At 38.8% G+C, this 18,140-nt stretch overlaps 1 protein-coding gene across 6 annotated transcripts in view; it reads right to left on the reverse strand.

Moving 5' to 3' along the window:
* The window catches only part of PRLR (prolactin receptor), a 181,732-nt gene that overhangs the window by 84,777 nt on the left and 78,815 nt on the right, over positions 1 to 18,140 (reverse strand). Inside the window, exon 2 of one of the 6 annotated variants that reach the window (XM_011514068.3) lies at positions 1,765 to 1,858. The exons of the other annotated variants lie outside the window; for them this stretch is intronic. The gene's annotated coding sequence lies outside the window, so the exon portion shown is untranslated. The remainder of the gene's footprint in view (positions 1 to 1,764; positions 1,859 to 18,140) is intronic. 6 annotated transcript variants of the gene reach the window in all.

Here is an 18,140-nt window from a genome sequence, read left to right on the forward strand (position 1 = left end):
ATTGTCTCTGGCTCACTATACTCCCAATTAACTGCACTTTAAGCTCACTTCCTCCATGGAAATAGAGACCAACTAGCTTGAATGTTCTTCCTTCTAACCTGTCATAGTTTTGAAGACCATCAATAAGTTGTGTTTCAGGCTTTTCCCATCAGATTAAGCAGTTTTCAATCTGATCCCTTCCTCACAGCATGTTTTCTCTCCTTAAAGACTGTAAACAAACAAATGAAGAACCTGTGGGCTACCAAAAATACATCTGTTGGGAGCAAAAAAATGTCACAGTCTCATTTTTGCCAAGTGGTCATGAGAATGTGCTGGCAAAACAGACCACACTCAGAAACAGGCCCTACTGACCTACTATAGCCTAGTCTTTTCAACCATGTTTATTAAAAAATGAACAACAAATGGAAAACCAAACATTGTATGCTCTCACTCATAAGTGGGAGCTAAACGATGAGGATGCAAAGGCATAAGAATGATACAATGGACTCTGGGGACTTGGGGAAAGGTTGGGAAGGGGGTGAGGGATAAAAGACTACAAATTGGGTTTAATGTATACTGCTCGGGTGATGGGTGCACCAAAATCTCACAAATCACCACTAAAGAACTTAGGTAACCAAACACCATCTGTTCCCCAAAAACCTATGAAAATAAAAAAAATAAACAACAAACAACAAAACCCTTCACATATAAAGAGGAAAAGAAATCAGGAAGCTGAGATTGGGACTTGGGTGAGCTCTTGAAAGATTTACTGAGCAGCTGAGATGTTGCTTGAGTGGCTTGATGGCTCCTCTTTCCTTGGATTATCACAGCAAGATCTGGCGCTGTGAAGATCATATTGCTTTCTGGTCACTCTGGTGAATAAGGGCGGGGAGTGGGGGAGGGGGTTGGTGGGCAGTAAATAAGTCCGGATATCTCCAGGGTCCAAAGTTGTGTTTGGATAAATTTAAACACCAAGTTACAAAGTTGAAGATTAAACTAACAACCACTCATCAGTGGATAAAAACATTGCTTGACTACACGATGCCAAAATGCTGGTCTGTTGTTTTGACTGAAGTAAGCAACTACCCGGCTGGTTGCCTTCTGGCATGAAATTAGAGCACAACCTCAATGAACTGGGATTTAATTTAATTAACTGAAAAATAAAAGGTGTCTTTTGTTACATTCTACTGGTGGAAAAGTAAAGTGGCAAGAAAGCAAGCAAGGATCAGGGCTTTATTAAAATCACCTCCTAGACAGTGAGTCTCCAGTGATGCACATTGGAATCATCTGAGAAACTTTAAAAACTACGGCTGTTTGGCTCCCATCCCTAGATGTTCTGATTTAATGGCGTGGGGTGCCGCCTGAGGGTTAAAATTCTAATGTGGAGCAAAGTTTGAGAACCACTGCTCTAGATATTTCCTGGTGCTGGTGTAACGCAGCCCAGTCATCTAAGCCATCTATAACATTGGACTGAGGAACATGTTTTTTTTCCCCTTTTAAATCTACTGACTGAAAGTAGAACAATCCATTCAAGGCTACATAAATAAAAATGTAATTTAATGTCATTTAGAGATTTGTGTTTTTTTTTTTTCTTAGAGAGTTCTATCCTGTTGCTTTTGAAATGAAGACTTAGGAAACAAATACTTCTTTATCATTCAGTCCGAAAAAGAAAATAATTCTGTCCTAGGGAAATCAGCTAAGGAAAAGGCATGAGGAAGGGAAAAAGAGACAGAGAAGGAATGCAGAGAGAACCAGGGCACAAGACACAAACCAGATCTCTCAGACCTGCCTCCTGTCCTGCTTCTCGACTTCCCCAGCACACGCATGTCCCACTGTCTTGTCCTCGCGGCCTCTCCACTCAGCGTGTACGCGTTGGCTTCTGGTGAGAGAGGAGGGGAGAAAAGGCAGCCAGAGGGAGACACAGCTGCCTCACCTTTGCTGAGCTGTTGGGTTTTATTGATCTGTTTTGTGTCTGCACTTCGGCCTGTTCTGTCCTGATTATGTCCACTGCTTTGAGTCCTGACCCTTATTTCTGGTCCCTGAGTTATTTTTTCCTCGTGGTTCTGCAAAACCTCCTCTTAGGCTTCTGAGGGTCTACATGTGTTTGCCACACCCTGGAGTTTCAGATTGACTCCAGTATCTTCCTGTCTTTCCAGGTGCTTTGTGGCTTCTCTAGCCAGAACCTAACCCTAGGGTTTTCTGACCATCTTTGTTAGACGCGGCAATCACGATGCCTGCCTCAGCCAGTGCCCGTCCTGAGGGAGCCTGCCTTGGGCAGCCATGTTTTGTTCTGGGTGACATTGACTCCCTACTGGCCTTCCTCATCCCATGGGGGACCTGACCAGAACCCAGGGCAGCTGTGGTGTGGGAAGGCCAGGGGCCTATGAGGTTGTCTGGTGGGAAAAGCTTTGTCCGAATAGGGGAGAGCAGGATAATCAGATTCCTTACCTTCGGAATTCGAACTGGGAAATATGGCCACGATAAGAAAGCAGCAATGTGAGAAGCAGCTGAGAAGTTATGAAGTAGAAAAACGGCAGTGTGGCAAAGAGAAGTGATGAATGAGCAGAAAATGTGAGGTAGGGAAATCATACGCAGAATGAACATAGAATACAACCTTTGAGAATTTGATGAAAGCTCCCTTCCCCAACAGGCAGAATAAATACATACACAATAACAGAATTGTGCAAGTTTGTGGACTCTCTGAGGCCCATGTATGAACCCATATAAGGTTCAAAAAAGCCAATTGAATTTCTTAGGTACAAGGTAAAGCCTTAGTTGGTGAAGGAAAAAGAGACGAGCAGCTTGGGAGGACAATCTCTAGAAGAGGCTTCCTCAGCCTCAGCACTGTGGACATTTTGGACTGGATAATATTTTGTCATAGGGGCTGTCCTGTGTACTGTAGGGTGCCTAGCAGCATCCATGGAGTCTACTCACCAGATGCCAGTAGCAACTCCCCAGTCATGACAATAAAAAGTGTCTCCAGACATTGCCAAATTCCCCTGGGAGGCAAAATTGCCCAGGAGAGAATCACTGCCCTAGAAGTTGACTGAGTCATGCATGGGAGAGGCAGCATCAGGGTGAAGACTCATCAACTGCAGCTGCAGAGGTCCTCAGATCTGGTTTCCCTTCCTTGAGAGGCCCAGTTCCTATTCGTTTCCTGTCTCTGCTACTGACTACCTCCGCCCACCCTCAACCTCACCGGCTCCCACTTTAGCTGGCTAGCCCACGTGAATCTCTACTTTTTACAGTGGTTCTCAAACTTCATCAGAATCACCTAGAAGGCTTGAAACATAGATTGCTAAGCTCCACCCCCAGTTTCTGATTCACAGTTCTGGGTTGGGGTCTGACATTTGGCATTTCTATTAAATTCCCACTCGATGTTTATGTTGCTGGTATCGAGTCCACACTTTGAGAACTATTGCCTTCCAGAAAGAAAAAGAAAAAAAAAAAAGCCTAGCTAATACTTTTTCCTGAGCTCCTCTAACAGAGGCAGATGAGTAGAAGGAGACAGAAAAAAAGAAAAAGTGATGCTTCAATAATGTCTGGTACTCTTCAATTTCTAATGCAGAATACTATCAGCAAACGTTTACTGAGGGTGAGGACGCATGCAATAACACTCTACTTTTTAATCCTTACAGCGACTCAGAGATAACAATAGACATTACGATCCTCATTCTACTCACAAAGAAAACAAGGCTTGGAGAAGGTTAGGGATTGGTCTAAAGACCACATGGGTTGTAAGTGACTGGACTGTAGTTTGAATCCAGGTCTGTTTAAATAAGTCTGAACTTTCTCCACTTTTTAAGACTTTTTTTTAAGCAGCATAACTTTCATTACCTTATAGAAAATCTCATGGAGGATCTCCAAACAGAAAAGAGATAAGAGGAGCTGAAAGGGTACCAGAAGGAGCATGCAGTGAGTTTCAGCCATTTGGCCTCCTGTCCTTTGTGGACATGCTGGAGGCATCACCAGAAAGGTCCAGCGTTCCTAGAAATCCAGTAAGAAAGTTCCTGTCTTACAAATTCTGTCTTCCCATTGGTTCATATATTTCAGAATAATCTCCTTTAACAAGGATATGGTTATCTGATTCATCTACACATTTGAGTGCATATCATGAAAGGTTATTCTCTGATGTCAAAGAAGCATTCAGTCATTAAATAACAAGGCAAGACAAGAAAAGAGATATGGAAATGACACTGTAGTGCTTGGGCTCTTTTAATGGAAGGACACATGCATTTTAGTGGGAATCAACCAGGAGGAAACATTCTTAAATATTAACGTGTTAAAATATTCACGAGGCTGAGGCAGGAGAATCGCTTGAACTCGGGAAGCAGATTCGCTTGAACCCGGGAAGCAGAGGTTGCAGTAAGCAGAGATGGCGCCATTGCACTCCAGCCTGGATGACAGAGCGAGACTCCATCTCAAAGCAAAATAAAGGGTTAAAATATTAAAATGTTTAATTTCATTAATTTCATTTTATAGACTGAAATAGCCATTTGTTCTTATACACACATACTTAAAGAGAGTATAGTTTGGAAAAAATGTTTAAAAATTTAGTGGTCCAGTCTGGCCTGGGTTAGGGCTAAATCTCAGGCTTGAGGCTTAGAGCTATTTGAAAATGTTCGACAAAAATTAGAAGGGCTGCATAGCTAAGAGCTAGAGATGAGCTATTTCAATTCTATGCGAGAATTCTTCAGTAAGAATGGCCTTTTAAAAGATACTTTGGAAGTTTCAGTTTTGCAAGATGAAAAGATTTCTGGAGATGGTTGCAAAACAATCCGATATACTTAACACTGCTGAACTGTACACTTAAGAATAGTTAAGACAGTAAATACTATGTTATGTGTATTTTACCACAATTAAAGAAAATGTCATCATGGTAAAACCACAACATTTTCATTGAGGAGATGGGCAGTCAGGAAGTTTTTTATTTTTTGATTTGTTTGCTGTTTTGTGATGGAATTGCTGTGGAGAGATTGGAATTTATGGAAAACAGGACATGCTTCAAAATGATGCACATTTTGGTTTCATTAGTCATGTGAAAGGCACAAGCCAGTGAGATTCAACTGTGTGATTGAGAAAAACACCCTGTGTAGAGAATCAAAAGGAAGAATATCTATATACTTATTCTGTCTTATTTTCCAGTTTCAAAGATTTAAACTTCATTTTGGTGAGGATACAATAGGGCACCAGTCAAAAACAATACATGGTTCACAGCAGGTTTCTGGATCATTCAGAAATTCTTCAAAGGACACTGTCACTGTTGGAGATTACTTTATTTCAATGCATCTAAGAAGCTATCAATTGTTTTATCTGCTGCCATTACTTTATTTACTACCAAGAAAAAAAATCTTCCAGTTAAATCATGATATGCCCAAAATTATAAGATGTATTCCAATTTCAAAGATAATAAAATGTATTTAAAAAGTTCTTGTCAGGGACTGAGGGGTAGGAGAAAGGACAGATATTGGTCAAAAGGTACAAAAAATAAGGAAAGAAAAAAATACATAGCTTTTTGAAATTTGATATGGGAGAGGGAATATTTTCCATGCAGTTAAAAGGTAAATTTTGTAGGCAGTTGAGCTATAGGAGGTTTGAATAAACATATTAGCCCTATAATTTTATTTTCTTTTTATTTTTTGAGATGGAGTCTCACTCTGTCATCCAGGCTGGAGTGCGGTGGTGCGATGTCGGCTCTTTGCAACCTCTGCCTCCTGGGTTCAAGTGATTCTCCTGCCTCAGCCTCCTGAGTAGCTGGGATTACAGTCGTGCGCCACCACACCCAGCTAATTTTTGTATTTTTAGTAGAGACAGGGTTTCACCATGTTGGCCAGGGCTGGTCTCAAACTCCTGACCTCAGCCTCCCAAAGTGCTGGGATTACAGGCGTGAGCTACTGCACCAGGCCAGCCCTACAATTTTCAACAAGTGCTAATAATAAAATGAATCCTGGTCAACAATTATAAACAAAGAAAAAAGTTCCTCTTAGAATTGAAGATGTGTGGTAGAAAGAAAAAACCCCACATACTATAAAATAATCCAGATACAAACATAAAAATAGGGATTTTCCTAGAAGACGACAGATGTAAGCACATACTTCAAATATTAAAAGGAACCAAACTAAAAGGTTAAAGATAAAGTAATGAAACAAAATGCCCATTATAGTCTAACTTTTATTACTCCATAGAATAATTTGCATCTGAGAGGTGTTTTAATGGAAATGATTTCTCAAAAAGATATGTCTTACCAAAGCCAGTTTGGAAATTGGATATTGCATGTATGTATTTTTTCTTGGTAGCCCATTATCAGTTCTCCTAATAATTTAGGATAAACTTGCATCTCAATTCAAGATTTGCATGGAATGGAGAATAAACTGGAGAATTAGAGCAAATAAAAAATATAGATGTTAAAATATCATTTAGAAATGAGCAAGTAGAGAAAATAAAAGTCTTTGAAGTAATTACATTGGTGAAAATTAAACCACAAACATTAAAAATGTAATTTTTTAAAGAATTAGAATTAACACATGAATTTTCCAATTGACCTCAAGCTTTTAAGAAAATTAAATTAACTATAATGCTCCATCCCAACTTCTGAGCATTATGATTACTCAAGATCTGAGTGAAAAGAAATGATGCGCTATTATGTTCATTATAGGCTGGAAGAACCAGATGCAAGTCTTTAAGGAACTGACTTGATTTGATTATTGGGGTGGCTCCTTATTAGTTTTATTCAATGTAATAAATGAAGAAAAAGGGCTACTGAACTCTATTATTCCTGAAGCTTTTCACTGCAGGCAATACTTTTTCTAGTCTGTAATAATCCTTTTGAGTAGCTGTAAGAGATTTGAGCAACCTTCAAAGTCCATCTGTATTGGCCAGGTTTATAATCAATTGTGGAATTTGGGAAGATACAGCCACCAATCACATAAATCATTCATTCCTGAGAAAATAGACTAGGTAATAATTTGAACACTTCTTGGTTGGGTTGTCTCATCCCTGGATTACAATTTGAATAATTCAACAATTAATTCTCTTTCACAAAAGTGAACACTTACTCTGTGTGAATCTTTCTTGAGAGCTGTAAAGAACACATGCAAAGTGTAATCCTGTCCTTGATGGACTTAGGCCTTATGATGTGGGGGGAGGAGAGATGACAACTGTATACAGTAACTATAATGCAAAGCAGAAAAACATCAGGGCTGCCATTCAGCTGGCTATAACATGCTGGCCAGTTTCTGTTCTGATTGGTCAGTGGCTATGCCAGAACTGTTTTAAATATTTTGAATGTTACATCTGAATAAACTTCAGTAAACAATGCCAGTTGCCTGTCTAACATCCCTTCTCTGTTTCTTCTTTATCAGTACAACCCTCATTTTGCTTAGTATATTAATGTACCCAACTGAAAAAAAAGAACATCTTCCAGCCTCCCCTCCTACATCTAGGGGTGGCCTATGACATAGTTCTGGCCAATAAGATTTAAATAAATTCCACTAAGAACTTCTGGGAAAGCTCTTTCAAACTAAGCCAATTCAGCTGGCCCTTGATTTTGCCTTTTTTGCTATCTTTCTTCTTGCCTGGAGTACAGACTTGAAGCTGGAGATGGGGCAGCTATCTTGGGAACAGGGATGACTGAGAACAAAGATAGAAGGAGTCTGGGTCCCCAACACTGTTGTTTGGCTATTTCATCATTCATGTATTGCTTACATCTGGATTCCTTAATACCTGAAAAAAAAAAACAAACCCCTAATGTGCTTAAGTCCTTGGTTAATTAGGTTTGGTAACTGACACAAAGTGTAACACAATTCTAACAGACACACTATCCTAAGGCTCAGAATTGGGAAATGCCGCATGAATCTATGGGGGTCATGAAAGCACTATGACATGGAAGGGGTTTAAAAGGTAGAATTTCAGATGAGGAGAGAACCACAGACATAATTTTGTTCAATATCCCTATGGAGATGAAAAGACTGAGGCTGAGCAAAGTAGTTTGTCCAAAATCCCACAGCCGGTTACTGGCAAAATGAGGAAAGATTGGTTTTCTTGCTATCTTGAAACAAAAAAGCAACCATGAAGAATGAAAGAATGTGTGGCCATTTGAACAGACAGGTATCAACTTCAGGTGTGTCTAGAAACATATACTGAAAAAAGGCTAATAGTTCAACCAAATGTAAATGATGAAACCAGATGTCATCCTTGAATCATTGATTTCCAATCCTCCCCCTCCCCACACTCTAAGTCTAGTCAATTTTACCTTCTAAGTCTATGCTTTAGGGAGCCTTTCTGGACTATGCCCTCCCACCCCCAACTCCTCATTGGATGCCATGCCCCTGGACCACTCTATCATCCTGCATTCATGACAGCACTTGTTACATTGCGTGTTCATTTTCTCTTAACTGGTTCCCGTCTCCTCCACTCTGTGAGGGCAGGGATCCTGCCCACCTGTGTGATTAGGTACTGCTCAGCACCATGTCATAACTCAATAGCTATTCATAACCCACACTCAGAGTTGGAAAAAATGGCAATTCTCGAATGTTTAATTTTTTCACTGGATGTGAAAATGTTTAAGTACAAGTGACTTTTGGAAGCTTACACCAACCTTCGGCAAATCTCTTCAGCCTATTCAGAAGTGAATAGGTTGGCCAAACAAAAAACCTAGAAATATAGATACCTTCCAAAGAAATTAGCAGATATATAGTATCAGGGCTAGGGCTAAGTGTTTGATGCCTAGGTTGAACTGAATATCACAGAATTGGGGCTTTCTGAAATGGACTTTTCAGGTGGGTTTGCACAGGTTGTGCCAAGCATATCCGGGATTTTTGTGGAATCACCTGGCGATTTTAGATGGGGATGCTGAAGTTATGTTGGGGTTTTAGGAAATGGGGAGAAAGGGGAAGGCAATATTTGCTCTAATGGCACATCTTATAGCCACAACAAGAGAGAAGGCTGCAGAATTATCTAGTGAATTTAATAATGAGCACTTCTAAATATCTAAAGAAACAGTCTTGATTGCCAGTGTGAGCAGGACCATTCTTGAAAGCACCAATTATCTACCCAAAGCTTCTTAATGAAGCTTGAGAGGAAATTACTTGGAAACCTTCTTCATATTCTAAATGCTAAGCAAGGAATAACAGTAAAATTTGGCTCCAACACAAATTCTAAATTCTTTGGTGCAAGATGGTGCACGATGCTTCTTCCTTTTGCAAATTAGGAACAGATAGGCAGTATTAAGCGGCAGATCTATTATGGTGGTGAGGTTACAGAATATTAAATGACAGAGGCAGTTTAGAATAGTGCTATGGCCAGGTTGTCTGGTTTTGATTCTTGGCTCCACCATTTACTTGCTGTGTGAGTTACTTAACCTCTGTGTTCTCATTTTCCTCATCTATAAGCTTGAGTGATAATAGCACCTACCACATAGGACTGTTCTGGGCATTACCTGTAATGCATTTCATGCAAAGTACTTGAGTGCCTGGAACATAATCTCACCCAATAAATGTCAGCTGTCTTCACTAGGTATATTTTAACAGAGTTTCTATAAATTGTTGATATGAACTTACAAGTCTAAAAACAACAAAATAAAAAATACAAAAAAGTTATGATTATGCAAATAAGGAATTTAGAGCCAGAGTCGGCAAACTTTTTCTATAAAGGGCAAGATGGTAAATATTTTCAGCTTTGTGGCCCATAGGGTCTTTGTTGCAACTATAAAACTCTGCTATTGCAGTATGAAGACGACTATAGGAAATATGTTAAAGAATATGTATGGCTGTGTTTCAAAATACTTTATTTACAAAAATGGTTCTAAAACTTTATGAAAATAGACCACTGGCTGTATTTTGCAAATCTGTAATTTAGATAAATGTATACTGCTATTTTCCAGGCAGCACTATCTTCTGGAAACGATAGGTAAATATTCTGTTTCTGTCTGACATTCCTCCCCTATCATCATGATTGACTCCCTCTGATCACCTTATGCAAAGTACCTCCTTACAGACACACAAACCTCGTTTGTTTTCTTCATGGCACATATTGCAATTTCTAGTTATCTGGTATATTTGTTCACCTATTTGTTTTCATTGTCCTCTCACCTAAATGTAAACTTGAGGGCAGGACTCTTAATTCCCAATGCTTATAACAATGACTGATTGATCCATGGTAGCAAAAGAAATATTTGTTAAATGAATGAAAGAATTACTGACCACAAAGAACTTGTATATTCTGACAGTTTAATACATATAAATTAAGTCCTACTCTCAGTAAAACATGTTTATGTATTCACGCATTTCTAAGAAAATGGAGCTATGCATTTGCTTTTAATATGCTAAGTTTATAAAACAGATTTTCTTTCTAAAATCAATGGGCCTTAGAATAATATGAGTATGACAAAAACAAACAAAATTTTTAAAAAACGACAAAAAAAAAATCATGGGCCCGATCATAATTTTTTTCCAGCTCATCCGTTTACTCACTGTTGTTAATTGAAATCATGTGTTCTGTAGACATTTTGCCTTCTCTTAGCTCTAACACTCATTATTAATACATTTCTATTTAAGGCACCAGTTTTGCATTCTTTTTTGTTTTGTATGATGCCACAGATTTTCAACAAGCTTCCAAAAAAAAAAAAAAAAAAACCCAGAACAACAGAACAACCAGTCCCTGAATCAGATACTTTTATCTTTCTTTTGTTTCATGCTTAAGATTTAGCATACTGCTTGACACACAGTAGGTGCTTAATAGATATTTGTAAATGAACAAATGAATGAATCTTTATTGGGGTATTGTAGAACATTCTATAGTAACAGAACAAGTGAAAGGGGCTTTGTTCCCTAGAGATGCAGGTAAACATAGAGAAGAATGTAATTTATGTGTTGTATGGGCACCAGAAAGTGAGAATAGGAGGAATGTAAAATCAAATTTTTAAGTAATTTTTTATTTTAAATTTTAATTTAATTTTTTTGAGGCAGAGTCTCGCTCTATCACCCAGACTGGAATACAGCAGTGGCACAATCTCGGCTCACTGCAACCTCTGCCTCCCAGGTTCAAGTGATTCTTATGCCTCAGCCTCCCAAGTAGCTGGGATTACAGGTGCACACCACCATGCCTGGCTAATTTTTTTTTTTTTTTGTATTTTTAGTAGAGACAGGGTTTAGCCTGTTGGCCAGGATGGTCTCAAACTCCTGGCCTCAAGTGATCTGCCCACCTTGGCCTCCCAAAGTTCCTCCAATTACAGGCATGGGCCACCGCACCTGGCCAAATTTTTAGGCAATTTTTTTTAAAGACATAGGGTCTCACTGTGTTGCCCAGGCTGAACTTCAAGTCCTGGTCTAGAGCCTCTGTCTCTTGAGTAGCTGGGACTACAGGTGCGTGAGGTAACTTTGCCTTTGATTTGCAGCATTTAGAAAAGACAGCCAGAGTTCTGGGAATAAAAAAGAGCAATGGGAACACTGTGTCTCTCAAATTACCATATGCATATTATTTACCAGGGTGGTGAGACAAGTAATGAATATATTAGGAGAATGGTGCTCATCTCCTTTGTATTCGTGATAAAATATCAGCCCTGTCAAATCATCCCGGAGTGAATATTATGAACTGTGGAAAGCTAGTTCTCACATCAGCCTGGTTCAGCAGGCACTGAAAATTGATTTTCACAAACGTTTTATGCTGGAAAAGGGCACAGGAGCCTTCTGACTGCACAGAAATACCCATCTGTTTTTTCTATAATCTATTGCTGGAGCATCCGGTTGTCCTGTGGGTGATTTAATAAAAGAAGAACAAAATGAAGACAAGAAGAGATATGTTTCTCTCCAGGGTCTGCTCCTCCATTAGATGAATCATTGCAAGAAAAAGTGGACGGCCCCTAATTTATGTCTACTGCACACCAAATGACTTCTTTCCTTTCCAGCTAAGGGAAGAAGTCCCTACTCTATGAAACCTTAGGATTGGATGAATCTTTGGAGGTTGCCTTTTCTTACCAAATGCACCCTTTGAAGGTCCTTGTTGTGGTATGCCATACATTAGAGGACTCTTTGAACTTGGCTTGAGGATTTCCATGGCTTTCTCTATGCTTTTGCCCTACTATGTACACACCACCATTGTTGCATTATTGCAACTTAAAAAATGTGCTTGCTTTGCCCGCATGAGAATTAACACAGGGGTCTTAATTTACCTTTGCATCTCTAAAACTTTGCCATGTGCCTAGCTCATGTCAGGCCCTCAACAAATGTTCACTGAAATGAAAGAACAACTAAGAGCTTAATATTTCAAAATAACACCTTTCTTCTCTGGTTAGAAACTTCTTTATAAAACTGCATACAAAATAGTCTGCATTTCTGTTTGTCTATCAGTGACTCAGGCAATTGGAGTTTTTCAAAACATGGCTAATGCAGAGGGTATTTGAATGCTGTTGAGTGGAGAGAGACTTCCCTCCAAATTAATTGTCCCTGCTAATTGCTTTAAGCAGGACTGTTCCCAATAGACGACATATAGTTTCCTTAAGTCACTGGTGGTGTGAACTGGTTGACAAAGAACCTCCATAAATCCTAGTACAACTTCATCATGACCCTCAAATCTACGATGATGGCATTCTTATGAAGCTAGACCTGCTTGGTCACTTCCAGAATCTGGTTCTACCAACCAGTCCTTGTAGGCATTTGATTTGACATATTTAGTAACAACTATTTAGAAAGGACTGCACTAGCTGTCAGGGTGGGGGATATCAAAGAGAGTATATATAGATAAAACAAATGAATTTCATGGCCCCAAGGAGCTCATAGTGTAGGAAGAAACAGGCATCCAAATAAATCAATTGCAATGCAGATTTGTACGTGTACTCTTGGGTGTACTTATTGTTTTCATAACATCCATCTCCTTGTAATGTGTGCATCGTTTTATCACACTGGAGATTAAGTTCCTCTCGTAAAGGCCTTTACATTTTTGAGACTCACTTTTAACAGAGCTCTTTCCAAAGCACTATTGTGTTCAGTACATGGGTGGCTGCCTTACTTCCTAACCGAGGGCTGGGGAGGACCTCCATGTCTCATGCATGCATCATTGTCATCGTTATAACTCCTTCTGAGAATAGGAAGTCAGGAACACAATGGGGCACCCCACAGACTGTCAATGGTTTAGAAATGTGGAGACTTAATTCCTCTCTCTGCAGGAGAGGATGGAGGTTTCAGAATGTCTAGACTTAGAGTGATGAAAGACAACCTCAGTACTTTTTGGAGACAAATGCTTTTGCTGGAGTGACAGCTTAATTACCCAGGCAATCAGGTCAGTTTTCAGAAAATCCAGTTTGTGCTCTTATTTAGCCCTCTAAACCTTTTTGAAGCAAGGCTTCTTTCATTCTTTTGCAAATGAGCTGGAGAAGATGCAAGGAAGATAGATGGAAGTGGAGTTATCTAATTGGGTTGGGAACAGGAATCTACCCACTTCACCACACACACACATACACACACACACATGCCCAACTCCTATCTAAACTCAAGGGCCAAGAATGGGAAATGATGTTGAGGAGGAGAGTAGGATGCTGAACTGAGCTCCACTCTCTCTTCCCAAAATTATCCCATCTACCAAGCCATTAGAGGTCAGTCCATTTTGTCCTACCATAGGTAACTGCTCATACAATTTTATGTTTAATAATTTCTTAAATATCAAACCAGCCAGAAAGGACAGCAAAGATTTAATGCAATAAATCCCACTTTTGTGAGGCCAGTTACTGTACCACTGAAATCTCCCTGAGATTTGCTGCATACTCTAGTATCATTGCTTCCAATTGTTCATGAGCAATATCATTGCCACTTCTCCCCTCATTTCTGGAAGCATGAAATGCCTTCTCAGATTCACAGAGGTCTGCTATATTTCCATCTCAAGAATTATAAAAACACAATTTTAAACAGCAAATTTCTTGCTTTGTTGAAATGAACTGCATATTCATTTCATTCAACCATTTTTCACTCAAAGTAGGAGTTGATAATCAGACAATTTATGTCTTGCAGGACAGAGCTTAACTGGAGGCCAAAGGGTAATGGGACTCATGATAGCTAAAAGCTATGATTGTCCAGTGTTCTCAGGATTCGTTGAGAAAAATGTTTTGTGAAAAATCAGGGCCTCAAAATAAAGAATAAATCCTAAAACAAGAGAGGCAAACTTAAAACAACCACAGTTTAAAAGAACCAGAATATAGAAGAGATTCAAAGTACTATTAATTTTCAGAAGAAAGGCCTTGGTTTATACATGCACAAATATATTCTAGTGCTCAAGAAGCATAGGCAATGATATGCAGCAAAAGAGAAAAACAAACAAAAAAACCAATGATTTGTCAAATTCATATGGTATTTTTCATGCAATCAAATGGAGAACAAGATTGTCACAGGGTAGACGTGTCGGTGGATTCACTATGGTGAATCCATAGAAGAAATTAGAAGAATTAGAAGAAAATTGCTCTTGAAATCTCAGGAGGACAATATATAAAATATATTTATATGTATAATACAGATAGAAAAACAACAGGGAATTAATCATAGGTTTAAGTTTTATACTCATTTGTAAGGCAATGAACTTCAGAGGTGTTTTGGCTAAACTCCCTGAATATGACTACCTTAAGTTGGATAATTTTGCAATCTACCCTTCTAAATATTTCAAACTGTCTTTTAAAAAAATTGCAGTTATTTTTGCCTTAATTATCTAGAAAACTGCTTCAATCTCCACTTCACTTTGTATAATTAATTTTTAGATGTGGGTTAATTATTCCATACAAACCAACAATATTCCAACCATTCAATTTGTGTTGAACTTGGGAGTATAGGGTTTTTGAGAATTGGTGATTTTTGTGCCTGTGTGATGCCAATAAAGGGGGTAGAAGATTCAGTTTCTAGCCTCTCCTAAGGAAAAAAAGGCTTAATTTTATCTGGGGTAGATAGCTACTGTTTTCTGAAAGCTACTATGTGAGCTGAGAAGGGGCAAGGATGGAAGAGAGTGAGCTTTGATACTGAACAGATTTGGGTTGGAATCCAAGCTCTCCTAATTGGTCATGTTAACTTGGACAAACTTTCATTTTAGAAGGTTTAGATTTTTCATCTGTAAGAGAAGAATAACAGCGTTTACCTGATACGATTGTTGCAAGGATTCAATAACTGTAGATGAGCACCTGGTATGAAATACATGCACAATAAATCCTAATTCCTTCCTTCTCTTAGAAACGAAAGGATCTTTGAAGCCATTTATAATAGTTCAAATCTTAATTTTAGGAGACTTTTTTAACTCAATATTTTACAAAAATTTGATATTGCAAACAAGGTAATTCCTAGTTTTAAATGTATCACTAACATTACTTGTACTTAAGTATAAAAAAGAAACAAATTACAGGTACCGTGTAAGTTCTAAGGGGTCTTGGAAGTATATATAGATACAGAATTTTAAATATCAAATATATATATACACAAAAATACACATTTACAGAATTTCTTATATTTTTGAGGACAGATGATCCCTCTTAAGTTTTAGAAGAATGCAAGAAGATGGCCTTGAGAAATACAGCTTTAGGCTGTAAAATAGTGCCTTGGACTCTAAAGCACCAAATAAATAAAGTTCATAATCTTTATCTGAAATTCTTGGAAATCAAAATGTCGAGTTGCTTAGTAACTATTTTAGTATAATTAGTAAGCAGCTCTGTGTACATCTGACCAACTTTAAAAGACCCAAGATTTATTACTGTGGGAGTTAAAGTTATCAGAATGTCTATTATCAGTTTTGTTTGTGGTTTTGAGAGCATCTTTATTTCTTCTGACTCAGCCAAATGTGGTACTCCAGATCTGAGGGTTAACTGGCTGACCTAGTTTGGAAGACCTAAGGAAGCTGTATAGTTTTAGCAAATTAAAACCTTTGATAATAATAATATTGTTATTAATAAAATTGTGCTCCATTTGATAATAACCTTTGATAATAATAATATCCAGTTTTCATGCAGCTCACACATATGATACTGCAATAGAGTAGCAGACAACTAAGCTTCTTATGGAATTTCTGATAAGTGTTGTTGCCATTTTAAGGTGCACTTCAAAAGGTAAGGGTCTCTGCTAGAGAGTCTTAGTGACTCTAATTTATAGTTTTATCATCTACTTGTTTATTTAAACACATCTTAAAGATACTACAATATTTGTAGTGTGTGCCTCCAATAAATGCCATTGTATTTCCTACTATTTGCCTTCAAGTCAGAACTTGACCCAAGATATCAATAATTTAGACCTTTTCAGTGGGATATTTCAAAGCATGATTTGGTACATAAATTAATCGAGAGTAAGAGTGATTTTCTACATAGCCAAAACCACCCAGGAAGATAACTACCTAGTCTTTTTTTTTTTTCTGAGACAGAGTTTCACTCTTGTTGCCCAGGCTGGAGTGCAATGGCGCAATCTCAGCTCACTGCAACCTCTGCCTCCTGGGCTCAAGCGATTCTCCTGCCTCAGCCTCCCAAGTACAGGCGTGAGCCAGTGCGCCTGAGTAGCTGGGATTACAGGCATGCGCCACGACGCCCAGCTAATTTTGTATTTTTAGTAGAGACAGGGTTTCTCCATGTTGGTCAGGCTGGTCTCGAACTCCCAACCTCAGGTGATACGCCCACCTTGGCCTCTCAAAGTGCTAGGATTACAGGCGTGAGCCACCACGCCCGGCCACTACCTAGTCTAAAATAGTATTCTTGCTTCAGTCTATCATAGAGCCCACTTCTTTCTCTTTATTCTTTCTTACCACAGAGTGAGGATTGTTCTATGGTTTTCCATCAGAAACACATTTTTTTCTAATTGAAGACTAAAGCACAAACAGGCCCCAAACAGCTCCTGATGGTTTTTGTTGCGGTCATTGTTGAAATGCAACGATGGGCTCTGCTTTTGGAAAATAAGAGCCTTCTGCCTAGACTTACGCATTCTTTGCAGCCTTGATATCTAAATTTCCTTTAAAACAACAACAAACAGAATTGTGCTGTCAGACTAATTATGCATGATAACTCTAAGATGGATTAAAATGATTTAATTTATAAGACAGTTAATTGCCATGCAGTATTGAATTAAACCATCTACATTTTCTGGAAATACAGCTGCGTGCTTAATAGTGGGTCATAAAGTTAAGGCCTACAAGGGGAAAGATATATGATAAATATTGGAAAGATATTGAAAGACATATGATAAATATTTGACTGACAGTAGTGCATGAAAACCATAAAATGGGACCATAGGAGGTAAGAATAGGAAAAAAAAATCTTATTTCACATGCCTTAGAGGAGACAGGACAAAGTCGGAGCTGAAAGAGACATTTTCTCCCCACAATAATCAATGACAAAGCATCTGAAATTTTAGTTTTCTAGAGTGAATTATATGGTGTTTTGGCGGGGAGCAGCTGCATTCCCTCCAGGAACAAGCTACTGATAGTTGCTAATAGTAGGCATATAAAACATCTTTGTTGGATGGATGAAGGAATGAATAAAATGATTTGATAAAGGGCAAAAATCAGAATTGAGGGGAATTATAGGGTTTCACCACGAGGCAATATCTCTGAGGCTATGGTAAACAATATTGCTATTTACCAATATTTCTAGCTCTCCTTCCTTTCTGGGTACACAGGAGGGCCATGCTTGCTCTACTGAATTTGGGCATGGCTATGTGAGCCATCAAATGTAAGCAGGAGTGATATAATTCCCTTCCAGCTGGTGGTTTCTAAGAGTAGTGTGTGATCCTCCATACTACTCTTGCCTCGTAGCAATGGTTGTGGAATCATGAGTTGATATGGAAAAGCTGTAAGATGGAAGCAGCAGCTTGGATTGCTAAGCCAACAAAAGAACAGCTGCTCTGGAGAATTGCCTAGATTCACAGCAGACTTTGAGCAAGAAATAAACCCTTGTTGTAAGTCAATGCATGGAGGAGGGTATATTTCATAGATGAGCAAGATGACCAAGAATAGCTTGCATACAACTTCTGTGTGAATTTGACACTCTCCCATCCACAGGTGGAGTCTGTCTCCTCTTCCCCTTTGATCTGGGTGGCAAAAGTGATGCTGCATGACCACCAAGACTAGATCAGAAAAGGCCAAGTAGCTTCTCTTAGAGCATCCATTGTCTTGGAATTCTTTTCTCTGCATGCTCCCTCTCAGAATCCAGCCACCATAGAGCC

Source organism: Homo sapiens, chromosome 5 (assembly GCF_000001405.40).
Source record: "Homo sapiens chromosome 5, GRCh38.p14 Primary Assembly".
Taxonomy (NCBI): Eukaryota; Metazoa; Chordata; class Mammalia; order Primates; family Hominidae; genus Homo; species Homo sapiens.